Here is a 26982-nt window from a genome sequence, read left to right on the forward strand (position 1 = left end):
TTGTGTGTACTTTATCGCAAACAGTTCCCTTTCCACCCCTCAGCAGCGGGCCCCACTCCCTTTGTTTTGCCCTTTCTCAATCTGAAGACGTGTCATTTACCTGCCAGCTTGCTTATCTGCATGGAGCCCATGCTCCACTAGGGCACGAACTTGGAGTTATTTCTGCTGCATCCTCTGCCCTTGCAAAAGTACCTGTCACCTGGGAGGCACTTAGCAAGTACTTGTTACCTAAATGGACAATGTGAAAAATCACCATGCTCCACTCGCAGGCCAGGCTGCTGGAGATGACTGTATGGCCTCTGGACTGGCCCTCTGAGCGTGACCGATACACAGAGGAAGGTGGGTGCACAAGGACTGTGCTATTCTGTAGGAATCCTATGAGGAATCTGCTGGGCACTATCACAACCTGGAGTCAGGGTAGTTCAGGAGGCGCTGAGGCTGCTGCAAGATGGCTCATGAGAGCAGGCAAGCTCCCTCGCCTGGATGGAAGCAGCACTCAGCAAGCAAGGCACTGAGGACCCTTCCGCTAAGTGAGGCTTTCTTACCTATCTCTGGTTCCAGGGTTTACATGGGTGGAACCAGGATGCCTACAACAGAGCTTCAGCAAGGACAGGCAAACAAACAGAAACTGACAAGTGGACTAGCAGAATGGACTGAAGGCTGCTCTGTAAACTTCTCCCACCCAGCAGTAATACTCTGGCTTTCTATGGCCCTGTGTGTCAGTTTGGTCCAGGCCTTTCTATGAAGCCCCTGTACATATCTTGGTCACTCATAAGTTCCCCTGCGTCTGCCTTCTGTCTCCATCTACATCAGCCTTGACTATATTCCACCCACATGGTGCTGGGGGCCTGGGCCTGTGAACCTCTGACCTGTCCTCTCCTGCCAGACTCAGGCCCAGCTCTCAGCTGCTGCTGTTGCCGGGCCCCTCCCAGGGTGCCTGACTCCAGATCTCTGCCACAGATTCAGGACTGGACTCAAAGGTCTCCTCTCTGAGGTGCCTTCCCTGACCTGCTTTGGCAGCCACTCCTGATTCTTCTGACTTTGCCCTGTTGTAGGGACTTCCTAAACGGTTGTGACCCATGCTCTCCATGTATGCCCGGTCTGAGGACAGCAGCGCCTGGCCCAAGCACACGCTCGATGGTGATCAGCTGACTGATGGCCGCGTGCTCTGGGTTTGGTGCCAGGCATGTGCCTCCTTCCAGTCTCCCAACAGCCCCCAGAGCTGTTCAGACCTCCAGTGCACAGCTCATGTCCAAAGGTGGGGAAGTCAGCTAAGGACCCACTTCATTCTACCCAGAAGCATAAGACAAAGAGAAACTGAGTGAGTGGCCAGAAGAGGGAGTGTTCGCCAGGGAGGGCTGGACCTCTGGGGTCTCTGGTGATCTGGCGGTAGAGCCACCTGGATAACGTGTGCCGATTGAATGAACAGGTGAAACAGGCCAGGCTTTCGACTGGGGAAGGGGAGCGAGAGGAATGAAGAAAGCGCCAGATAGTTCCCATGGAAGTTTATTTTATGTTCCTTGCAAACAACATGTGGCCTCAGCTGTGATTCCAGCTGCCCTCTCTGACTTCTGTTCCCTGAGCCTGGCTCCTGTTCTTCATTCAAACTGCACCAGCTGCATAAGCAAAGACAGTGGAGGGGCTCCACTGCATGTCAGCCTGCTGCATGGCTTGCAGCTGCTTCTGTATCTCGGCCTGCAACTGGCACAGCTTGTCCTCGTTCACAGGACCCCGGCAGACGCCATGCAGGTAGATGCAGCAGTCAACTGGGATGGGATAGAGTACCTGCTTCAGCTCCATCAGCCCCATGGTGTGCTCCAGCAGGCTCAGGAGGCAGGCACTGGAGATGGGGTTGTCGGAGAGGCTCAGGGAACTGAGGTGGGAGCAGCGGCACAGGGCGGGCAGGAGGGCACTGAGGTGGGCATCCTTCAGCCAGCAGTGTTTCAGGTCTAGGTGCTGCAGTGTCCCTGAGACTGCCCTCAGCAGGGTACCCAAGGGCCCAGGGATCATGTAGGACAAGTCGTTGACGCTCAGATCCAGCTTCTTCAGGCAGGTGGTATGATGGCTCCGGGACAAGTAGGTGATGTCAGTGTCCAGAAGCTTGCAGTTGCAGATCTCCAGGGAATGTAGTGGGACCCACAGACAGCTGAGGAGAGAAGGGTGGCTCTGTGAGGGGAGGGCCCAGGCACCCCACCCGGAACACCTATTTGTCCATGGAGGAGGCTAGTCCTATGGCCACCCCCTCATCAGGGAAGCCATTTACCAGCAGGGTCAGGAGCATGTCCTTTGGTGTCCCAAGGCCTGGCTCTCTCTCAACAGACCTACCAGGTCCTCCACGAACCCTTCTAACTCTAAGTTTCTCTTCGGTGAAAGGGAGATGCACATTATCCATACCTAATAAGACTGCTGAGAGGAGCCATTTGAAAGCGCTTATCTGATGAGAAGTAACCATAGGCTGAGGCCATTATTCCTCAGGTTTGGGTTTGGGGAAGCTGCTGCTCAGGCTTCCATTTAAGCCAGGGCTGGGGGTCCTGAATGCCCTATCTTGAAATTTCTAGGAGACGTGCACAGAGTGGATACTGATTGTCCTTCAGGGCTCTGTACCCACCTGTCTGGGGCAGTATGAGCTCAGAAGAAGAGGCATAACCTGTGCTGTGTCAGGATCTTTTCTTGGGGACCAGCATAACATTCAGCAGTGCCTGAAAATGTTTGTTGAGTAAATAAACATATTATTAGGAAAGGCGCAATGGCTCACACCTGTAATCCCAGCACTTTGGGAAGCCGCAGTGGGTGGATCACCTGAGGTCTGGAGTTCAAGACCAGTCTGGCCAACGTGGTGAAACCCCATCTCTACTAAAAATGGAAAAATTAGCCAGGCATGGTGGCCCATGCCTGTAATCCTAGCTACTTGGGAGGCTGAGGCAGGAGAATCACTTGAACCTGGGAGGCAGAGATTCCAGTAAGCCGAGATCATGCCACTGCACTCCAGCCTGGGTGACAGATACTCTGTCTCAAAAACAAAAAATTAAAAAATTAAATGAAATTCATGGAAGACCACTGTTTTGGACTAAGCTCCTGCACTAGACCTCAAAAGACCAGAGCAAACCAGAATGCAGTCACTCGTGCTAAGTGCCAGGTAATCAAACTGAACTTCGAAACTGGTCAGTTTTCCAAAAAACAGGAGATTCACACCAACCAATCAGAAGGGGCCCAGGATGATAAGGAAGTGCCCTCTGTTTTAACCCCATAAGGAAAGTAACCGTCAACTGACCAATCTGCTTTTTGTTTTGGCTTTTTTCATCACTTTTATGCTTATAAAGCCAGTCTCTTCTGCTCAGCTCATCAGAGCTCTTATTCTATTTTATAGAATGGGAGGCTGCCCCAATTTGTGAATCACAAACCTAAGCCAATTAGAAGGCCAGGCATGGTGGCTCATGCCTTTAATCTTAGTGCTTTGGGAGGCTGAGGTGGGAGGATGGCTTGAAGCCAGGAGCTCAAGACCAGCCTGGGCAGCAAAGCAAGACCTTGTCTCTCCAAAAAAGTTTTTAAAAAATTCGCAAGGTGTAGTGGTGCGCATCTGTAGTCTTAGCCGCTTAGGAGGCTGAGGCGGGAGGGTAGCTTGAGCACAGGAGTTTGAGACTGCAGTGAGATGTAATCGTGCCACTGCACTCTAGCCTGGGTGACAAAATGATGCCCTGTCTCTAAAGAGTAAAAAAAAGCCAATTAGATCTTTAAACTAAATTTGTTGTAATTTTTTTTTGAGACGGGGTCTCACTCTGTTGCCCATGCTGGAGTGCAGTGGCACAATCATGGCTCACTACAGCCTCAAACTCCTGGGCTCAAGCAATCCTCCTGCCTCGGCCTCCTGAGTAGCTGGGACTAAAGATGCACTATGCCCAGCTAATTTTTCTTTTTGTTTTTGTTTTGTTTTTGAGATGGAGTCTTGCTCTGTTGCCCAAGCTGGAGTGCAGTGGTGCAATCTTGGCTCACTATAACCTCCACCTTCTGGGTTCAAGAGATTCTCCTGCCTTAGCCTCCCGAGCAGCTAGGATTACAGACACATGCCACCATGTCCGGCTAATTTTTGTATTTTTAATAGAGATGGGGTTTCGCCATGTTGGCCAGGCTGGTCTCAAACTCTTAACCTCAAGTGATCCGCCTGCCTCTGCCTCCCAAAGTGCTGGGATTACAGGCATGAGCCACCGTGCTTGGCCTTAATTTTTGTATATTTATTTGTAGAAATGGGGTCTCACTTTGTTGCCCAGGCTGGTTTCCAACTTGGCCTCAAGTGAGCTTCCCACTTCAGCCTCCCAAAGTGGATTTTATTTTTTATAGCAACATGCATCTTTCCCCATCAAATATGTTTCCAAAGCAGATCCCAGCCATCAGCTGCATCTGAACCCTCAGTTCCCAGGCTGTGCCCACAATTCCATGAGCATCTAAGAATAAGCCCCATTTCCTGTCTTGTTCCCCTGACCTGACCTCACTTGGGAGTATTCAGAGGACTCTTCCGACGCCCCTGCCTACCCATTCACCTGAGTATGTAATGTAGTTTGCCTACGAGGTAGGAGTGAGACAGGTGCAGCTTCCGGAGGTGGCCCAGCATGGTGAGCTGGGAGAAGAAGTAGCTGGAGGGCCGCCTGACCCATGAGGAGAAGGCCCACTTGTAGTAGAAGAGCTTGAGGCTGCGCAGGTTGAAGATCCTTCCCAGCTGTATGGCAGATAGGTTTGGCTCTGCCAATACCAAGAAGTCTCTACACCAGTAAAACACCTCCAGCTCCTGGATGAAATCCAGCCTGAGTGTCTTCAGGATCCTCAGCAGACTGTCGACGGCCATCTTCTCAATGTGCAACTTCCTACAGCAGAGATGCAGGGCCCCGTGGCTCTGTTCCACTTTCGTCAGGAGGTCGGAGAGGAACTTATCTAACTTGAAGAAGCCTCATAGGAAAAGATCAATGTGTATTTCCACTGCTTCCCATGGCTGCTTTCATCCTTTTTTCATGTTCTTTGCTGGCTTGGGCCTGGCCGTGGCCTGGGGCGTCTCTGCCTTGACTGCTGATGGTAACCAAAATGGGAACTTGGCCAAGGCTTCAGAAGCCCCTTTACCACAGTAAAAGACTTGCTCAGAGTCCAGGGTGAAATCCAGCATCCTCAGTTCTGACTTCCTGCGGGGAGAGGGGTGTGATGAGATGCTGGGGAGCCCAGGTAAGATGAGTGGCAGCAGCCCTGGGCTGCTCCCCAGGCCCCAGCACCAGCCCGCCTCGCCTCTCCTCTGCAATAGGCTTTTCCTCCCTCACTCAGGCTCCTTGTCAGCCCCTATTCCTCATACAGCTTGTACCACCACCCCTAGAAAGTAAAAAGCCCTCTCCTTAAAGCCTTCTAGCTGTACCATCAACCACTTAACTCAGAAACATATAGTTTCCCCACTTGTCCCTCTAGCCAATTTAACGCTCCCCTCCCCTGGACCTCAGCTCACCCTCCTTCTGGCTCTGAACTGAGGTCTTGCTCCCAGCATCCCCCTTACCTGGGACAAGCCCTGTGGGCAGAAAAGGCCTCCAGCCCATCCACCACAGCTTGCAGGCTGTCTTGGTTGGGCCACTGCACTATCAGAGAGCCCAGATGGAGAAACCGGAAGGGCCAGGCCTGCACCAAGGCCTTCAGAGCCTTTCTGTGCCCCTTGGCAAATGCAGCAGTGAGTAGTGGCGGGAAAAGGTTCACTGTGAGCTGTTCCAACACCAGTGGAACTGAAGCCTCATTGCTCAGCAGGCTGTGGGCTGCAAGTTCCAAGAGGCTGAGGGGTGCTGGGTGGTTCACCTCCATGGACCTGGAGCAGAAGAAGGTAGAAATCCTCAGAAGACTAATGGCTCAGCATCACTCCCAGGCCAATGTGGGAGATGCAGGCCTTTCGCATCTGTCACAGAACCAAATGCTGGCTCCTCCCTCCATTCAAGACCAAAACTCCACAATTCAGGTCTTGTAAGCCTGAGACCCTGGAGCCCTAAGACCCTGGGGACATGGGATCCAGAACCTTAGGGGTTTAGATCTATTCCTTGCTAGGCTGTAGAGGCTTGGAATTGACCCACACTTTCCTCTTCTGCCTTCACCATTAACATCATGAACACCTAACTAAGGACACTGTCCCAAAACTCCACATCAATTCTCCCAAAGCGTATGTAGATTCTGAGCAGTTCTCATCACTTCCAGTTTTACCAAGCCATTATCTCTTGCCCCCATTACTGCAGTGGCCTTCTAACTTGTCTCTCTGCTTCTGTCCTTGTGCGCCCTGTGGTCAAAGTCAGATCATGACATTCCTTTGCTCAAAACTCTAGTGGCTTCATTTTCACTGTGAATACAACCCACCCTGCAGCTGCCCTCAGAGTCTAGCATCCGGGCATCTCAGGGCCCACCTCCTGTCACTCCCCTCACTATTCACTCTGCACCAGCAACCTACACTGGACTCCATTTCTCTCCTCAAACACCAGCAACGCCCTGCTTCAGGGCCTTTGCACTTCCTGTTCCCTCTGCCTAGAAGTGTCTTCTCCCAAATATCCTCATGGCTGGCCCCCTTACTTCATTCAGGTTTCTGTTAAAATTTCACATGAGAGGCCTTCCCTGACCACCCAAGTAGAATAGCACTCCCATCCCTTAATTACAGCTTTATCTTTCCTAATCTGATTTACAGCACTTCTTATATCACCAGTTTTCTGTTTCTGTCTCTCTTATACACATACACATACGCAGACACACACATGCGTGTGCACATAAATGCACACAGTCGTATATTATCTGTCTCCCCTCTGCTAAATTATAAGCTCCATGAAAAAAGGGGCTGTGTCTGCTTTCATTACTGCTGTAGTCTGAGTGATAAACATAGTTCCTGACATACACCAGACAAGCAGGATATATTTTAAATGCATTTCAAGAGCAAGTTTGCACAATACACGCTTACCACAATCCCACTGATGGAGTTGAGGGTAATGTGGAATGGAGGTTTTTTTTCTATGCTCTCACAGAGCATCAGGTTCAGGTTAGTTATGGATTCTTTCAACTGCCCAAATTCCTCTTTTTTTTCTGCCCAGTGAAATGCGGGAGTGTAGCCCCATCCCATCACTTTCCACGGTCCACCACAGAGCAGGGCTTTGTGCAAGGAGGGGGATGTTCTAGACCTGCACTGTCTAATGTGGGAGCCCCAAGCCACATGTGGCTACTGAGTACTTGAAATGTGGCTAGCATGACTAAAGGACTGAATTTTAAATTAAATTAAATTCTAATTAATTGCAATCTAAATAGCTTCATGTAGCCAGATGCTACACTTCTGGACGGCAGAGTTCTAGGATCTATGCTAGTCAGAGACAAGAAACATTCATTCACAGTCTCACAAGCTATGAAATCTATTTGTATGAGGCCACTACGGCCTTGGCAACAAACTGGGCAAGGACAGAGGACAGTATAAGAAAGGACAATTATTGGCCAATCATACATAGGAAGCTATCTAGCAAAGGCTTAAATACTAGCAAATCAAATCAAACGCCTGGCACACTAAATCTATAAATATCTCTTACAAATAGTGATCAAGAACGATTGAGCAAGAATGGTTAATGTTAGGTTTATTAATTATTAATGTCAATGCATTTGAGAAAATCAAAGAAGAAATAGAAGGCAAGGTTCTGAACCTGATATTTAGTAGTGGTGTTTTATAAACATTGCTTTTTTTTTTTGAGACGGAGTCTTGCCTGTCGCCTAGGCTGGAGTGCAGTGGCACAATCTTGGCTTACTGCAAGCTCCACCTCCTGGGTTCACGCCATTCTCCTGCCTCAGTCTCCCGAGTAGCTGGGACTACAGGTGCCCGCCACCACGCCCGGCTAATTTTTTGTATTTTTAGTAGAGACGGGGTTTCACCATGTTAGCCAGGATGGTCTTGATCTCCTGACCTCGTGATCCACCCGCCTTGGCCTCCCAAAGTGTTGGGATTACAGGCGTGAGCCACCGCGCCCAGCCAACATTGCTTTTAAAGTTAGAAACAAGATGAAGATGGTGTGGCCACCATGAGAGTGTGCCCTGCACCTCCAACTCAGGAAATGCACCTGAACCAAGGGCCCCACCCACTGCCCTTAGGAATCCCTGGCAGCCTTAAGGCCCAAGTCACACCACCACATGCTGCTCACCAACAATGACTGGGGACAGATCAGTTCCTGGGAGACAATGTGACAGACTAGTTCCTGGGAGACATCACTCCTCTGACAACCACCTTTGGCTTCAGGACTCCCTGATAGCTTTGCTAAATCTTCCTGAGTGCACACGTTTCCACCCAACCTTCCCTCCAGTTCTGCTTCACCAAACACAGCGATGTAGGTCAGTGGGGTCTCCATGCCTTCCCGCTCACCCCTCAATGCCCCTCATAGGGGGCTCCCCTAGTAAAAATCCTTGGATGTTTTTCCATCTTGGTATCTGCTTCTAGCAGGACTTTGATGGAGTTTAGGATGTGCCTTCCCAAAATACAGCAACTTGGCATACTGAATATTTTAAGCTGAAGGAATTTGAGAAATGGCATGGGCAGGCAGGATTTTCTGACCTTCCCCTGTAGTAGGTATAAGACCCTCCTGTGAGAGGTACTCCCCCTATACAGGAAGGAAAGGCATATCCTTATTTCCAAAGATGAACGCTTGCCAAGAGGGATCTGAACACACAGGCCCGCTGTTCCGCCATTTTATTACACTTGGCTCATACTCTCATACTTCTTTTGTCTTATCATTATTTCTCCATGACTAATCAAAATTTTTTTCTCTCTCTATATATAAACATATATATATAATATATGTGTGTGTGTGTGTGTGTGAGAGAGAGAGAGAGAGAGAAAGACAGAGAGACAGAGAGAGACAGAGAAAGAAAGAGAGAGGGAAAGAGAGGAGCTGTATCATGGGTATTTTTGTTGATGTCTGAATTAGAAACAAGCATGCACACTATCAACATTGTTTGGGAAAGTTGTAGCCGGTGCAGTAAGACACATAACAATAGGGTTGTCTAGGGCAATAAAAAGAGGCAAACGATTATGTACATAGTGTAGGAAAAAATGGTGTTGCGGCTCAGAATGTCACCCCGAAATACGGAACTTTGAAGGTGTCTCTCTGACTTTTCCCTGCCTTTCTGTGTGAGAGCTAGTCATAAAGGAATTCTTTGACCTTCCTTTCCTGAAAGTAGGCAGTGAGACCTCCACCCCATGTGACAGGTGTCCTGTCCTATTACCAGGAGGAAAGAAATGCTACACAGAGGGGCCAAGAAGAATCTGAATGAACAGGCCTTGCTAAGTTCTCCCCAGCTTATTACCATTAGACCACAGGTTTTTTGTCCAATCATACTTGTACATGACTGTCCATCCTTCATCAAACCTAAGCATACATATATACAGATAGTCAGGTGCAGTGACATGCACCTGTAATCCCAGGTACTTGGGAGGCTGAGGCAGGAGGACTGCTTGAGCCCAGGAATTCAAGGCCGGTCTGGGCAATACAGTAAGATCCCAGTCTCTAAAAAAAATTTTAAATTAAGAACTACAGTTCTCCCTGGGTCTTTGAGTCTTCATTTCTGAAGGTTCCTGTATCACGCAAAACTTTGATACATTTGTTATGGTGTCCTCTTGTTAATCTGCCTTTTTAAAATAGGGGTATCAGCAAAGACCCTTGAGATGGGTGAGGAAAAGCTATGATTTTTTCTCCTCTACAGTGGAAAGCAATGGATCCTCTGTAATGTACCCTTCTGGGTTATCAGATTTGAGTCCTGTTCATTATCTTTGAGCTATTTTTTAACTTTATAAGTTGTAGGTAACTGATAGACATATAAATTCTGTCTGGTCTGGTAATGATTTTCTCCTAACTTCTACCTGTGGAAAATTTTGTCTCCATCTGAAATTCATCTCAACATCCCTTCATGTCATATAAATATGTGCTGTCTTAACTCTTCTTTAACATCTGCCTGGTACTTCATATTATATGAGTAAAATAAATTCTTTAATACATGTTCATTTCTATATCTGTATAAAGTCACAATTCTACTTTTCTGAAAATTATCTTTTAACAATTGGAAGCTAAAAAGGATAAAATAGGAAACAGTTAATATAATTAATAGGAGTATTTCTGCTGATGTGACTGCACAAGAGTGCCCAGTATTTCCAGCAAGAACTGAGCTGTAAATGTATAATGGCAGAAGTAATGTAGATGTATGAAATAAACTATTCACTCACTTTTTTCTGTCATCTAGGGATGACAATAAATGTGAAAACAGTATTAAGAATTAAAAAATTAATGTAATGGAGTAAAATTAATAAATGGAAAGATGTAAATGGATGAGGAGAGCAAATATTGAAAAGATATAAATATTGTTATAGTTAGGACATTTTAAATAATGTCTAATTATGACTTTAATCTAGAAGAAATAACAAAAACAAAACTAAGAGAAGACTATTGAAGAGATACTAATGTGAAATTAATTCAAACTGGCTGGGCGTGGTGGCTCATGCCTGTAATCCAGCACTTTGGGAGGCTGAGGTGGCTGGATCACCTGAGATCAGTTTGAGACCAGTCTGGCCAACATGGTGAAACCCTGTCTCTACTAAATATACAAAAAAGAAAAAATTAGCCATGCATGGTGGTGCATGCCTGTAATCCCAGCTACTCGAGAGGCTGAGACAGGAGAATCACTTGAACTCGGGAGGCAGAGGTTGCAGTGAGCCAAGATCCGGCCACTGCATTCCGGTCTGGGCGAGACAGTGAGACCCTGTCTCAAAGAAAAAAAAAAATTCAAACTTAAAGTTACTGGAAATTGAAATTATTCTGAGCCTTGAGAGAAATGTGGCTATGTGGCCTGAGTCATGTAATATGCAGCTGCAACTTCTACTTCTCTGATTTAAATCAACTTTCTTCCTTATTCTTGTACTATAGAAAATTAGGAAGACCTAATGGCACCGGATATAGGACCCCTTCAGATCACTACCTCTTCTCAGGGAGTAACAAAGTAATCTTTCTTGGAATATAGCATTCTATAACCAACCAAATCACTGTAATGAATGCACTGGTTTTGTATGGAAAACTCTGCAATCCTGCTAAAATTTCTCTGTCTCTGCCTACATAAGTGAAACCTTAACTTCACTGCTTTGGAACGCTGACCCCGTTCATCTGGAGTTAGTGTTTCCTGGGTGGCTATACTCAAGCTTTGTGCGCAAATAAACTCTATATTTAATCATGTGTTCTGATCTCACTATTTAACATTAACACTAATATTACCATATGTTTACATAAAACAATATTATGTTGACCTGAGAACAGAAATCAATCCGTGAAAACACATAGAGCAAGCTCTCCCAAGAGCTTGTAGAATTATTGAAGGATCTGATTTTCATTATCCACAGAGCCTGACCATAGGTAGCTTAGGCAAAAAGAGGAACTTTCTGGGAGAGGATTCCATTGTAGCTTACCTAACTGAAGAAAGCTGTCTAACGAAGTCAAGGTCTTGGCAGCAGGAGACCCTGTCTACCCTCTGTTCCCTACCCTTAGAGCTATGCCATAAACCCAGCAGCAAAAAACCCTCCAGGATGGTTCCCTGGCTCTGTCTTCTCTTGCCAAATGTCAAATGGCTATGAGACAGGTAGATTTGTAAGATGCACCACCTAGGAAAGAAAAAAAACTCCTGCCAATAAAACTGATACCTATGAAGGTAAGACCCATACTGATTTTTCTGAGATTTCAATCTCTGACACATCCGTAATGAACAATGAGTGGGACTCCTTGGTTGGTGAATGAATAGTGCTAAAAGGTGGAGTACAGTGTTACAGTGAGAAGATAATTTTTTGGCCAATAAACATATAAAAATGCATTCACTATTACTAATCAGGGAGACACAAATCAAAAATACAATGAGCTATTACTTCATATCCATTAGGATGGCTACCATCAAAAAAACAAAATAGAAACAAATGTGTTGGTGAAGACACGGCGACATTGCAACCCTTGTACGATGCTGGGAATGCAAAATGGTCGAACTGCTGGGAAAACAGTATGGTGGTTCCCCAAAAAACTAAAATTAGATCCAGCCATTTCAATTCTAGGAATATACCCAAAAAGACTAAAAGCAAGGCCTTGAAGATATATTTGTACACCCATGTTCACAGCAGCATTATTCATAACAGCCAAAAGGTGGAAGCAACACAAATGTCCATCAGCAGATGAATGGATAAACAAAACATGTATATAAATACAATGGGATATTAATCAGCCTTAAAAAGGAGGAAAATTCTGACACACGCTACAACACATACGGACCTTGAGAACATTAGGCTGAGTGAAATAAGCCAGTCACAAAGGACAAATACTGTATGACCCCACTTGTATTTCCAGATTGAAGATTATTTTAAAATGAAGACATTTTAAGATACAGCAGATGCAGAAAGAAGCCATTTCAGAGCTTCCCTTATCTGGCTACAGGCAGAGCCTTCTAAGAATGAAGTTGTCATAAATCCTCTCTTTAGGAGAGCTTCACTCCCAGACAGGGCCACTTGCAATGGGATGAGAAACTGTATAAGCAAACATTATCACCAAGTGTCATACCTTCCATTTATTCTCCTAAAAGACCATTTATCTTTCCCATGGAAACCCTTTCTCCCTTCACCCTTTCCCCTATAAAGTTGGTGTATAAATCCCTATCTCTAGTTCTTCAGGGAGCTTCTCATTTAAATGCTGCCCCACACACATGTAAAGAAATCTTGTCTTTTCTCCTGTTAATCTGTCCATTGTTTGGTTACCTTTTTCCCCCTGTTAATCTGTTAATTTGCTCATTTGCAGCTCCCACACACTACTGGACCTGAGATGGCAGAGGAAAAGCTTTCCCTCCCAGCACAGTTATAAAAGATATCTACAATAGTCAAATTCATAAAGACAGTAAGAATGGAGGTTTCCAGGAGCTTGGGTGGGGGAGAAATGACACAAGACAGGGACCCCCTCTTAGGAGCCTGGAAGCTCCCAAACATAAAAAAATTTAAAACTCTTGAGTTCCTCCAAGGGAAATTCTAGATATCTAGCTAGTCCTAAAAAATAAATAAGTAACTTGGGGCTGGGTATGGTGGCTCATGCCTGTAATCCTAGCACTTTGGGAGGCTGAGGCAGGCAGATCACTTGAGGCCAGGAGTTCAAGACCAGCCTGGCCAACATGGTGAAATCCCGTCTCTACTAAGTGGTTCATGCCTGTAGTCCCAGCTACTCGGGAGGCTGAGGCGTGACAATCTCTGGAACCCAGGAGGTGGAGGTTGCAGTGAACCAAGATTGCACCACTGATCTCCAGCCTGGGTGACAGAGCAAAACTCCCTCTCAAAAAACAAATACATAAAAATAAATAAATAACTTGATAAAAAGGTATCATGTTTTGCAGGGTCTTATTTTAAAAAAAAGATAATAGTAGCCTAAAATAATTGCCAAGGAAATTAGATCTAAAGATGTTCAATTTTCCTATAAAAACTAAAAATAACATCTTAACATATATCTCTGAGTTGTCTTTCAGAAGCCTGGACCCTCACCAAATGCAACTGTTGGCTCATGGACCTTTGATAAGAGAGTTGAGGACTGAACTTTGACCACCATTCTTTGTTCTAAATTTCTTCCTGAGGGGGCCGGGTGTAGTGGCTCACAGCTGTAATCCCAGCACTTTGGGAAGCCGAGGTGGGTGGACCATCTGAGGTCAGGAGTTTGAGACCAGCCTGGGAAACACGGCAAAACCCCATCTCTATAAAGAGTACAAAAATTAGCCAGGCCTGGTGGCATGTGTCTGTAGCTCCAGCTACTTGGGAGGCTGAGGTGTGAGGATCACTTGAGCCTGGGAGGTGAAGGTTGCAGTGGGCCAAGATTGTACCACTCCATTCCAGCCTGGGCAACAGAGTGAGCCAAGATTGTACCACTCCACTCCAGAGTGCACCATTCCACACCAGAGCCTGGGCAAAATCAATAAATAAACACATGTTAAAGATGTTATTTAACTGGTTAGTGAGGAAACTGAGAAGGTGTTAAAATCAGTTCTAGGGAGAATCCAAAATAAGATCCAGAATATTGAAATGAATATGCAAATGGAGGTAAAATTGGCTTCCAGTAGGGAGAGAAGCCAATTGAATAGGACAAAATGTACATGTCTAGAGACGAGAATTATGTTGCAGTGCTATCACCAGTCTTCTAAAGTAGCTCAAAACAATGAAAGACGAGAGACAACCTGGAAGGGTTGTGATCCACTTCAGTGGAAAACTATCCTATCCACCTAGGATAGGATAGAATCCATCATTCAGCCAGCTTATTCATCCCAAGTCATACTAGATTCAAGTTTGAGTTCTACGAGACAGACTAAAATTTACAGGGCTATTTCATTACCAAATTCGAAAACATAAATTGAAAATGATGTCTCTAAAAATTAAACTACTGACCAATCTCACTTACGAATATCAATGCAATGGTACCGTTAAGACAGTTAATTGGGAAGTCATGAGGCTAAGATGTCTCCAGCACCTTGAGTTTCTACCTAAGCCAACCAAAACCCAATTCAATGTAAAAAGTAAAATGAAATTTAAGCTTAACCAATCAGAAACTGCCAACTAACCTCTAACTAGGGACTTCCCACTTTAACCAATCAAATATGTTTTCTTTGTCTTGTTTCTGTGAATACTTTATCAAATTTCCTCTGTTGCCCCCTTTCCTACCCACCCACAGTGGAGCACTGAACTACTTGTGGTCTGGTGCTGCCTGATTCATGAATCAATGAATGCTCAAATAAAGTCATTCAAATTTTATTGTGCCTAAATTTATCTTTTAACAGCATCCAGCAGCACATGAAAATAATAATGGAGTATGAGTAAATGAGAAATATTAGTAATGCAAAGAGAGTCCAATATGAGCAAATCAAGTCACCATATGTAATAAAATTTACCAAGTTAATAGGACAAAAGAGGGAAAAAAGAAACACCTTGGCCGGGCGCGGTGGCTCACGCCTGTAATCCCAGCACTTTGGGAGGCCGAGACGGGCGGATCACGAGGTCAGGAGATCGAGACCATCCTGGCTAAAACGGTGAAACCCCGTCTCTACTAAAAATAGTAAAAAATTAGCCGGGCGTGGTGGCGGGCACCTGTAGTCCCAGCTACTCGGGAGGCTGAGGCAGGAGAATGGCGTGAACCCGGGAGGCGGAGCTTGCAGTGAGCCGAGATCGTGCCACTGCACTCTAGCCTGGGCGACGGAGCAAGACTCCGTCTCAAAAAAAAAAAAAAAAAAAAAAAAGAGATTGAATGTGTGGCGAGGCCCTTCAGGGCCCAGGCGTGGAGCCCTGTACTGGGTATTCATAAACCATTTCTGCAGGCTAGCCTACGTTGGCCCTGAAAGGCCCAGGAAGCTGGGAGAGCCAGGGAGAGACATGATGGAGTTGTGGCAGGGTGAGATGTGCCCCTTCCTCCTCCTAGGACTGGACGCAGAGAATTTGTATAAAGCTCTTTACTAACCGGAGTCTTAATTAAAGGAAAGAATTAAGGAAAGCCCTAAAGGATCTATGGGAGTGGGTATCTCCACCGTGGCCTTGGTCTCAGCCATTCCTCTTTTTTATTTTTTTGGGACAGGGTCTTACTCTGTTGCTCAGGCTGGAGTACAGTGGCACAATCTTGGCTCACTGCAACCTCTGCCTCCTGGGTTCAAGCAATTCTCCCACCTCAGCCCCCAAGTAGCTGGGATTACAGGCGCGAGACACCATGCCTGGATAATCTTTGTATTTCTTGTAGAGATGGGGTTTCACCATGTTCCCCAGGTTGGCTTCGAACTCCTGAGCTCAAGCCATCCACCCGCCTCGGCCTCCCAGAGTGCTAGGATTACAGGCGTGAATCACTGCGCCCAGCCTCAGCCATTCCTCTGGGGGTTTTCTTACAGCTTAGGAGTTATATGGCAACACAAGCTGCAATCTAAAGTCATAGGCTTGGTGGCTCATGCCTGTAATCCCAGCACTTTGGGAGGCTGAGGCGGGTGGATCACCTGAGGTCAGGAGTTAGAGACTAGCCTGGCCAACAAGGTGAAACCCCGTCTCTACAAAAAATACAAAAATTAGTCTGGTGTGGTGGCGTGCACCTGTAATCCCAGCTACTCGAGGGGCTGAGGCAGGAGAATCTCTTGAACCTGGGAAGCAGAGGTTGCAGTGAGCTGAGATTGCACCACTGCACTCCAGCCTGAGCAACAGAGCAAGACTCCCTCTCTAAAAATAAAGCCACACAGATCTGTGCTTAAATCCTGGCTATGTGTGATTTTGGTAAGTTACTCAAGTTCTGTAAACCTCCTATTTTTACATCTAAAATGCGGAAAGAAATTATATTTGTTTTAGAGTTATTGTTGCAAAATATATACACTACAGAGCACAGAGCCTTGTGCCCAGTAAGTGCTCAGTTGACACATGTGCTTTTAACATTATGTGCATTGATGCAAACTCTTTTCTACTTTGCTTTATCTTTGTCCTAGTGGCATACGGCACCCTCTTGGCAAACCAGCTAGGCCAAAACAGAAAAGATTCATCACAGACTGAAAACTCTTTTATTTTAGGAGAGGATAAATAAGTTGGTTCACATTGTGTTACAAAGGGCAAAATAACATTGGAAGGTAGATTGTCACCATAGTTTAGGGCCTTTAGGTTCACGAAAGGATTTCCAGGGAAGAGGCATCAAAATGAAACAATGGAGCTAAGGAGGAATGAGCCCCGAGAAGAGAGGATAAACTTTCCAGGCAAATGGAATGTGTGAGAAGGCCCTGAGATGAGCTGGAGCATGGCAGGCTTGGAGAACTGAAGTCAGCCCTGTTTGAACTGACTTATTAATGAAGGAATGGAGAGAAGTCTGGATACAGAGGAAAGCAGGCCAGATCTTCTATGGCCTTGTAAGTCACGTTAAGGAGCTGTCATTCAAATTATCCTTCCTGATCATGTAGTTGTAATGTATGCATTAGATTAATAAATATATCTTAAAATATAGACAACATGGAATTAGCAAATTATAGCTACTTCACATGGTAATGAGGCCAGCTTTCCATAGAATACCAGGTAAAGTGACATCTCAGTTTTATACATGATGTGGCATGAAGAAATGCTCTACTTTAAGCGGTTGGTTGTGGCTTTTTCGGGAGCCCCCTTAGAGAGGATCTCGGAGGTATCTGGATAAAAATCTGGCTTGTAGCTGTTATTGCTAATTTAGCCTCATTCAGCAACAGTTTTGAGGATGTATATCCCACATGCCGCACTAGAGAAAAGGAGAGGGAATGGGAGATACAATTTTGCTTCCTGAGAGAACCTTTCCGTCATCTTACTTCAGGTATTGGCAGCAACATCTAAACCACGGTGATTTCACATGGACAAGACAGAAACACAGTGGTTATGAGTGCGGTTTTTTCATGGGGTCAAGCTGCTTGGGCTTGAAACTTTACTCCCAACGAAGTTATTTGAGTAAGTTACCTAATTTATTTGACACCCCCCCTTTTTTTTTTTCTGAGACAGAGTTTCGCTCTTATTGCCCAGGCTGGAGTGCAATGGCACGATCTCAGCTCACCACAACCTCCGCCTCCCGGGTTCAAGCAGTGCTCCCGCCTCAGCCTCCCAAGTAGCTGACATTACAGGCACACACCACCACGCCCAGCTAATTTTTGTATTTTTAGTAGAGATGGGGTTTCACCATGTTGGTCAGGCTGGTCTCGAACTCCTGACCTCGTGATCCGCCTGCCTCGGCCTCCCAAAGTGCTAGGATTACAGGCATGAGCCACCATGCCTGGCCTATTTGACCCTTAATTTCCTCATTTATAAAATGGGAACAGGAGTCTCTTGATCATGAAGTCGTTAAGAGGAGTTAGTAAGATATTTCACAGCTAGCCCTACCCTAATGCCTGGCACATAGTAAGATCTCAATATATCCTATTCATTATGATTATTAGTATTTTGCATCTTTTAATCTTTCACTTTTTTTTTTTTTGAGACAGAGTCTTTGTTGCCCAGGTTGGAGTGCAGTGGTACAATCTTGGCTTACTGCAACATTCACCTCCCAGGTTCAAGTGATTCTCCTGCCTCAGCCTCCTGAGTAGCTGGGATTACAGGCGTGCGCCACCACACCCGGCTAATTTTTATATTTTTAGTAGAGTTGGGGATTTCACCATGTTGGCCAGGCTAGTCTGGAACTCCTGACCTCAGGTGATCTGCCCGCCTTGGCCTCCCAAAGTGCTGGGATTACAGGGGTGAGCCACCACGCCCAGCCAATCTTTCACATTTTTAAAAGCCTATGATCACTAGAATTTTACAGCTTTGCTTAAGTGAGTATTATAGGATCAGAAAGCTGTACTTGGTAAACTTTCCTGGCATTAATTTAAATTCTCTAACTTATTTCTTTAAGGTATTCTTTTTTAAAGCTTCTTTTAATGGAGACACAAAAGTAGGAAAAAAATATTACAGCGGATCCCATGTACTCATAATTCAGCTTGAATAATTATTCTTTGCTGATTCCTTTGTATCCACACCCACACCCTCCTTCCTCCATATAGCTCCATTTGCAAATATTTCAGCAGATGGAGTATAAAATATACCATCTTATCATGTGTAAAAAAATTTAATACTTCTGGCCGGGCACGGTGGCTCACGCCTGTAATCCCAGCACTTTGGGAGGCTGAGGTGGGTGGATCACCTGAGGTCAGGAGTTCAAGACCAGCCTGGCCAACATGGTGAAACCCCGTCTCTACTAAAAATACAAAAATTAGCCGGGCATGGTGGCATACCCCTGTAATCCTAGCTACTCGGGAGGCTGAGGCAGGAGAATTGCTTGAGCCCAGGAGGCAGAGGTTGCAGTGAGCCGAGATCATGCCACTGCACTCCAGCCTGGCTGACAGAGCAAGACTCTTTCTCAAAAAAAAAAAAAAAAATTAATACTTCTGTAATATCATTAAATATCCATGCTCAAACTTTGAATCATCTCATAAATTGTCTGTTTAGATCAGGATCAAAACAAGGAACACATTGTGATTGGAGTTATCTTTACAATTTTTGAATTGATTTTGTCATTTTAATATGTATAGATTCAGTCTTTTTTTTTTTTTTTTTTTTTTTGAGACAGAGTCTCGCTCTGTCACCCAGGCTGGAGTGCAGTGGCACAAACTCGGCTCACTGCAACCTCCGCCTCCTGGGTTCAAGTTATTCTCCTGCTTCAGCCTCCTGAGTAGCTGTGATTACAGGAGTGTGCCATCACTCACACCTGGCTAATTTTTGTATTTTTAGTAGAGATGGGGTTTCACCATGCTGGTCAGGCTGGTCTCGAACTTCTGACTTCATGATCTTTCTGCCTCAGTCTCCCAAAGTGCTGGGGTTACAGGTGTGAGCCGCCGCACCCGGCTAGATTCAGTCCTAACCTGGCTGCAGATACCATCTCTTCCCCTTCTTCTTTATTTTCCTTTACACGACTTGTTAATACCTGTCATATTTGTGTGCCTGGTGTATTGTCTCTCTACCTGCCCATCATAACAAAAGCTTCATAACAGCTTTATAAGAAAACTGTGGAGGGGGCAAAAATCAGAATGTGCTTAATCAATGTTCTCTTCTAACATAAGTGATTTTTCTCTTGGAACTTTTTCTTCTTGAGATAGTGTGGGAGAGAGGTGTTACATTTATTTTTAATGATGATTGTTCTTTTCTAAGCCGAAGGGATTTATTCAAAGTGATAGGCATAGCAAGTCTTATGATGAGATTTTTTTTCAATGATACCAATCAAAATTCTAGCCTCCAAAATCAACTCTGACAGGATTAGAAAAGGAAAATGGAGACAAACATGTCTGTGGGGTGAGGGGGGCTGTTTGGAACTAGGATGTGTGGCATGGAGGTTTTGGCTTGGAGCAGGAAGTAGACTAGTGTGAAAGACACAATACATTAGACAATTAAGGAGAAGATATTATTCAGCTTATTGCAGTAGAGAGAGCACCCCAGATCCAATGGCTAAAGTGTCTCAGCACAGTGGTTCTACCTTAGACTTTTATAGCCAGGGGTAAACAAGTTGCAGAAGGTGTTGTTTTGCAAGTAGGGGACGTCTTGGTTATCTGAACGTCAAATGTTTTCTCTGTGGTCAGTTTCAGTGGGATAGACTCTTCTAATCTGCTAATCAATCAAAGAATAGGAGGTTGGAGCATCTGGGTCTAACCTTGTGAGCAGGCTCAGGCAAAAGGGACTGTTTGGCTTTGCCAAAGGAGTCATCTTTGACTCATGGAAGTTGTGAGAAAGTAGATCATGAGTCTTATGTAAGTCATATGGGGAAGAGTAGTTCTTTGAGGTAAACTCTTTCCAGAAACACAAGGATTTTTTGAGGGGGGCAGGGAGCGGTCTAGAAAACAAAAGGATGGGGGTACTTCCTAGCCATCACTGTGTCCTGAGAGCACAGGGCTCAGGTAAAGTTCAACCTTGTCATGAGGTTGCCTATTGGAGGACAGAATAGGTGGGGGGGACTGCTAGAGTTTCACTGCCTTGGGACAAAAAGTGCCCCCAGAACTCAGCGTTCTGAATCAGGTGTATTCAGGTATAAAACCTGGGATGCAGTTTAAGGCCTGGCTTGTGGTGAGCTGAGAAAAAGTGGAGAATGGTCTCAAGGGAGTTGCTTTCTCATCCTTTTACCTCCAAAGCACAGAACTGAGCAGTTACAGTCTGATAGTCTCCCCCAAGACTGCTTCTCTTAAGAGGCAGAAGTTGAAGACTGGTCCTGAGTATTTAGTAGGGTGGGCAATGACTGTTTTTTCTGGTGCCCTCCACCCAAGGGTTCATCCACTCTGTATCCCCTCAGCCAGTTGGAGATGACAGGGTTTGGTATCTGGTCTTTATCCATTTCTTTGCCGTATATAAGAGCCTGCTGTAGAGGGAAATAAGCTCAGCCATTTCAAATGCAAAAGAGCATACAGGATTAAACATGCCACCAGAAGCAAATACGTTAGAAAAGAGGAACACAGAACTTAAAATTAGCCTAAATAAGCATATTAACAGGGGTAAAGGGTGCTTTAAACTAAAATGAGAAAATAAGAGAATTAAGCAGAAATATGCATACAGAATAGCTGAATCAATTAAAAAAACCACTGCTATGGGGAAAATGGATAGAGCAAGGAACAAATGAGTGCATTTGAAGAAGATGTTGAGTAAACAAGCTGGAAACGAGGGTGACAAACTGTCCCAGTCTGCCTGAGACTGCGGGGTTTTGAAGACATGGGACTGTCAGTGCTAAAACCAGGAGAGACCCGGGCAAACCAGGACAGCTGGTCACTTTTGAATAGACATAAAGAATATAAAAGCAAAACTAAGAGCAATGGAGGAAAAGAAGTGCAAACATCCAGATAATTGTGATCCCAGAAGGACAGGGAAATGAAACAGAGAAGAAATACTTGAAGAAATCATGGAGATACCTTTCGTAGATTAAAAAGAAAAAGCGAGGCTTCTGGTTTCTGGTCTGAAATATAAGAAGCTTGGAAGTCATCACTCCATCCTAACAAGTAGTAAGCTGAACAAACTGAAAAATCAGTTCTTCTTAGATCCGCAAGAGAAGTGAGGCCACAGGGCAAACTGTTTCCCCCCAGATTGAAGATACAGATGGGCAGATACAGAGAATTACAATTTACCAGAGCAGAAACCCATGAGCAGGAACCTCCACAGGAATCAGTGCTGGGTAGAGAAAACTGAATTGTAATCGATGAATTACTGGAGGCTCAGTGTAGATATATCTGAGAGATAACTCCAGGGGGACCCAGCTATTGGGTGGGCCTCACTTTTCTGAGTTTTACTTCCTGAAGCTCTACCAGTTCTCACAGTAAATATCAGAGAGAACTCTCAGGCTTTGGTAGAGAGAGGAAAAATGATTTTGAAACATTCCAGATAATTCTGTTTTTTTTTCTTTTTTTTTTGAGACGGCGTCTTGCTCGGTTGCCCAGGCTGGAGTGCAGTGGCACGATCTGGGCTCACTACAAGCCCCGCCTCCCGAGTTCACACCATTCTCCTGCCTCAGCCTCCTGAGCAGCTGGGACTACAGGCGCCCGCCACCATGCCTGGCTATTTCTCTTTTTTTTTGTATTTTTAGTAGAGACAGGGTTTCACCATGTTAGCCAGGATGGTCTCGATCTCCTGACCTCGTGATCCGCCTGCCTTGGCCTCCCAGAGTGTTGGGATTACAGGCGTGAGCCACCGCGCCCGGCCAATTCTGTTCTTTTTAAATTATTTTATTATTATTATTATTATTTTGTAGAGACAGGGTTTTGCCATGTTTCCCAGGCTGGTCTTGAATTCCTGATCTCAAGCAGTCCTCCTGCCTCAGCCTCCCAGAGTGTTAGGATTACAGGCATGAGCCATTGCACCTGGCCAGTTCTGTTCTTTTTTTTAATTATTTTTATTATTTTTTAAAAATTATTATTATTATACTTTAAGTTTTAGGGTACACGTGCAAGAGAGACTACAGTAAGTCCTCAGTGTCATCACTAGGTTCTTGGAAACTGCAACTCTAAGCAAAATGACATACATATGGCCATGAATAATGTCCATTTGTTCAATGTCATTTCCTTACAATGGTGATGAGGAAAAAAAAGTTGGTTTTGCTTAAAGTCATAGTCAATAGTTTCCAAGAACCTATTGATGTTAAGTGAGGACTTACTGTATTTAACCAGAACCTAACCTGTTAGGGTTTTATCAGAGCCTAATGACCTGGAAGAAGAGAAAACCTCAGCTCCAGCCAGCTGTAGCCATCCTTTCCCACCTAACTGGGGAGAAGAACTGGGAAGCACCTGTGAAGTTCACAGTCCAGAGGCACAAGCTCACTAAAAGATCAAGACCTAGTCATGAAAATACTGACTACTTTCCTCCCCTCACACCTTACCATATTACTAAAAGCCTATTTATTACAGTTCTTTTTATCCTATACGTCATGTTGGGCTATCAAGAAAAAATTACAGGCTGGATGCAGTGGTTCACACCTGTAAATCCCAGCACTTGGGAGGCTGAGGCGGGTGGATCACTGAGGCCAGGGGTTCAAGATCAGCCTGGCTAACATGGCAAAACCCGTCTCTACTAAAAATACAAAAAATTAGCCGGGCATGGTGGCGCACGCCTGTAATCCCAGCTACTCGGGAGGCTGAGGTAGGAGAATAGCTTGAACTCAGGAGGCAGAGGTTGCAGTGAACTGAGATTGTGCCACTGCATTCCAGCCTGGGTAATACAGTGAGACTGTGTCTCAAAAAAAACCAAACCAAAACAAACAAAACCCCCCGAAATATATAAGAACTCATACAACTCAACAGCAAAAACAGAACAATTAAGAAATGGATAGGCCTGGTGCAGTGGCTCACGCCTGTAATCCCAGCACATTGGGAGGCCAAGGCAGGTGGATCACAAAGTCAGGAGTTCGAGACCAGCCTGGGCCAACATGGTGAAACCCCGTCCCTACTAAAAATACAAAAATTAGCTGGGCATGGTGGCGGGTGCCTGTAGTTCCAGCTACTCGGGAGGCTGAGGCAGGAGAATTGCTTGAACCTGGGAGGCGGAGGTTGTAGTGAGCTGAGATCGCACCGTTGCACTGCAGCCTGGGCAACAAGAGCAAAACTCCATCTCAAAAAAAAAAAAAAAGTATAAAGGACCTAAATAGACATTTTTCAAAAGAAGATACGTAAATAGTCCACAGATACATGAAAATATGCTCAACATCATTAATCATCAGAGAAATACAAATTAAAGCCACAGTGAAATGTCACCTCATACCTGTTAGGATGGCTATTATAAAAAAGTCAAAAGATAACAAGTGTTGGTGAGAACATGGAGAAAAGGGAACCCTTGTACATTATTACTGGGAATATAAATTCATATAGCTTTTATGAAAAAACAGTATGAAGATTCCTCAAAAAATTAAAAGTAGAAGTACCATATGATCCAGCAATCATATTTTTGGGTACGTGTCCACAGGAATAAAATCACTGTCAAGAAGAGGTATCTTCACTCCCATGTTCACTGCAGTGTAATTTATTGCAGTATTGTTTACAATAGCCAAGAAACGGAAACAACCTAAGTGTTCATTGACAGACGAATGGATAAAGAACATGTGGTATATATACACAATGGAATATTATTCAGCCCTAAAGAAGAGGAGAAAAATTTGGACCCAAAGAGAGAGGGATGACAAGCATGTGACGATGGAGGCAAAGGTTGGAGTTACATTGCCACAAGCCAAGGAATGTCTGCAGAGACCCAAAGGGTGTAATAGGCAAGGAAAGATCCTTTGCTAGAGATTTCAAAGGATGTATGGTTCTTTAACACCTAATTTCACATTTCTAGCCTCTAGGACTCTGAGAACAAATTTTGGTTTTAAGCCACTCAGTTGGGTACTTCTCTATGGCATCACTAGGACATGAATACACTACCCAAAGTGACTTACAGATTCAATGCAATCCCTATCAAAATCCCCATAGTGTGGCTGGGTGTGGTGGCTCACGCCGATAATCCCAGTATTTTGGGAGGCTGAGGCAGGCGATCACCTTAGGTCAGGAGTTTGAGACCAGTCTGGCTAACATGGCAAAACCTTGTCTCTACCAAAAATACAAAAATTAGCTGGGAGTGGTGGTGCACACCTGTAATCCCAGCTACTTGGGAGGCTGAGGCAGGAGAATCGCTTGAACCCGGGAGACAGAGACTACAGTGAGCCAAGATTGCGCCATGGCACTCCAGCCTGGGCAACACAGCGAGACTTCATCTTAAAAAAAAAAAAATCTCTACGGTGTTAGGCAAAAGATGGAAAAACTCATCCTAAAATTGATATGTAATTTCAAGGGATCCTAAATGGCTGAAACAATCTTGAAAAAGAACAAAAGTTGGGAGAACCCAATTTCCCAATTTCAAAACTTACTGCAGACTGCGTGCAGTGGCCCATGCCTATAATCCCAGCACTTTGGGAAGTCGAGGTGGGAGGACTGCTTGAATCCAGGCATTTGAGACAGCCTATGTAATAAAACGAGACCGTCTTTACCAACCTCCCCCCACCACCAAAACAAAAAACAATCGGGAGGCTGAGGCAGGAGGATCACTTGAGCTCAGGAGGAGGAGGCTGCAGTGAGTCATAGTCATGCCACTGCACGCCAGCCTGGGTGACAGAGCAAGACCCTGTTCCCCCAAAATTAAAAAACTTACTATGAAGCTGCAGTAATCATAAAAGTGCAGTACTCGTTAAGGTAGACACATAGACCAATGGAATAGAATGGAGAGCCCAGAAATAAACTCTCGCATCTATGATCATTTGATTTTCAACAAGGGTGCCAAGCCTATTCAATGGGGGAAAGAACAGTCTTGTCAACAAAGAAACTGTTGGGAAAACAGGATATACACATATAAAAAAATGAAGTTGGACTCTTTCTACTGTATACAAAAATTAACTAAAAATGGATTGAAGACCTAAATATAAAGGTTAAAAGTACAAAACTTTTAGAAGAAAACATAGAGACAAATCTTCATGACTTTGAATTTGGCAATGGTTTTTTTTTTAACTTTTTAATTTTATTAAAAAAAAAAATAGAGACCATGTCTCGCTATGTTACCCAAGCTGGTCTTGAACTCCTGGGATCAAGCAATCCTCTGGTGTTGGCCTCCCAACGTGCTAGGATTACAGGCATGAACCACTGTGTCTGGTCTGGCAATGTTTTTTTTAAACTGATACTCAAGGCACTGCAACACAAGAAGAGATAAATAAGTTGAATTTCATCAAAATTTAAAACTTTTATGCATCAGCAGACACTATCTAGAATGTGAAAAGGCAACCCACAGAATGGGAAAATGTCTGCAAATCATAAACCTGATAAGGGCTTAACATACAGAATATATAAAGAATTCCTATGACTCAACAACAAAAAGAGAAACACCCAATTATAATATGGGCAAAGGATCTGAATAGACATTTCTCCAAAGAAAATATACAAATGGTAAATTAACACATGAAAAGATGCTCAACATCATTAGTCATTAGGAAAATGTCAATTAAAGCCAGGGAAGATAGCAATTCACACCTACCAGACTATAGTCAAAACAAAATGGAAATAAGAGGTATTGATGAGGATGTAGAGAAAGGATAACACTTGTACATTGCTGGTGGGATTGTTAAATGGTGCGGACCCTGTGGTAAACAGTTTGGTGGTTTCTCAAAAGGTTAAACAGAATTACCATATAACCCAGCAATTCTGCTCCTAGGTATATGACAAAGAATTTGAAATAGGGACTCAAACAGATACTTGTATGCTGATGTTCACCACAGTACCCACCAGAGCCAAACGGTAGAAACAATCCAAGTTCCCATCAACAGATGAATGAATGAACAAAATATGGTACATACATACCTAGAAAGGAATGAGGTTCGGATACATCTGCAACATGGATGAGTGTTGAAAACATTATGCTAAGTGAAGTCAGCCACAAAAGGCCATTGTATTAGTTTCCCAGGGCTGCCGTAAAAAAGTACCACTAAGTGGTTGGCTTGGAACGATACAAATGTATTGTTTCACAGTTTTGGTGTCCAGAAGTCTGAGATGAAGGTTTCAGCAGGGCCAGGCACTCTCTGCAGGCATTAGGAAAGAAAGGATCTGGTCCAGGTCTCTGTCCTAGCTCCTGGTAGCTTTAGATGTTCCTTGCTTTCTACCTGTGACTTTTTCACAGTCAAACATTTCCCTCTGTGAGTGCATGTCTCTATGTCCAAATTTCCCCCAGTCATAATGGACTAGGGCCTACCCTAATGACCTCATCTTAATTTTTTTTTTTTTTTTTTTTGAGATGGAGTCTTGCACTGTCACCCGGGCTGGAGTGCAGTGGTGCGATCTTGGCTCGCTACAACCTCCGCCTCTCGGGTTCAAGAGAGTCTCCTGCCTCAGCCTCCCAAGTAGCTGGGATTACAGGTGCCCGCCACCATGCCCAGCACCCGCCACCAC

At 44.7% G+C, this 26982-nt stretch overlaps 1 pseudogene across 1 annotated transcript in view; it reads right to left on the reverse strand.

The window, feature by feature from the left end:
* Nucleotides 1-1490: 1490 nt before the first annotated feature.
* Nucleotides 1491-26982, reverse strand: part of PRAMENP (PRAME N-terminal like, pseudogene) — a 52836-nt pseudogene continuing 27344 nt past the window's right edge. The window contains exons 5-7 of the transcript NR_135291.1: nucleotides 5525-5824; nucleotides 4536-5165; nucleotides 1491-2146 (exon numbers count right to left, since the gene is read on the reverse strand). The product of NR_135291.1 is annotated as a PRAME N-terminal like, pseudogene (transcript). The remainder of the gene's footprint in view (nucleotides 2147-4535; nucleotides 5166-5524; nucleotides 5825-26982) is intronic.

Source organism: Homo sapiens, chromosome 22 (assembly GCF_000001405.40).
Source record: "Homo sapiens chromosome 22, GRCh38.p14 Primary Assembly".
Taxonomy (NCBI): Eukaryota; Metazoa; Chordata; class Mammalia; order Primates; family Hominidae; genus Homo; species Homo sapiens.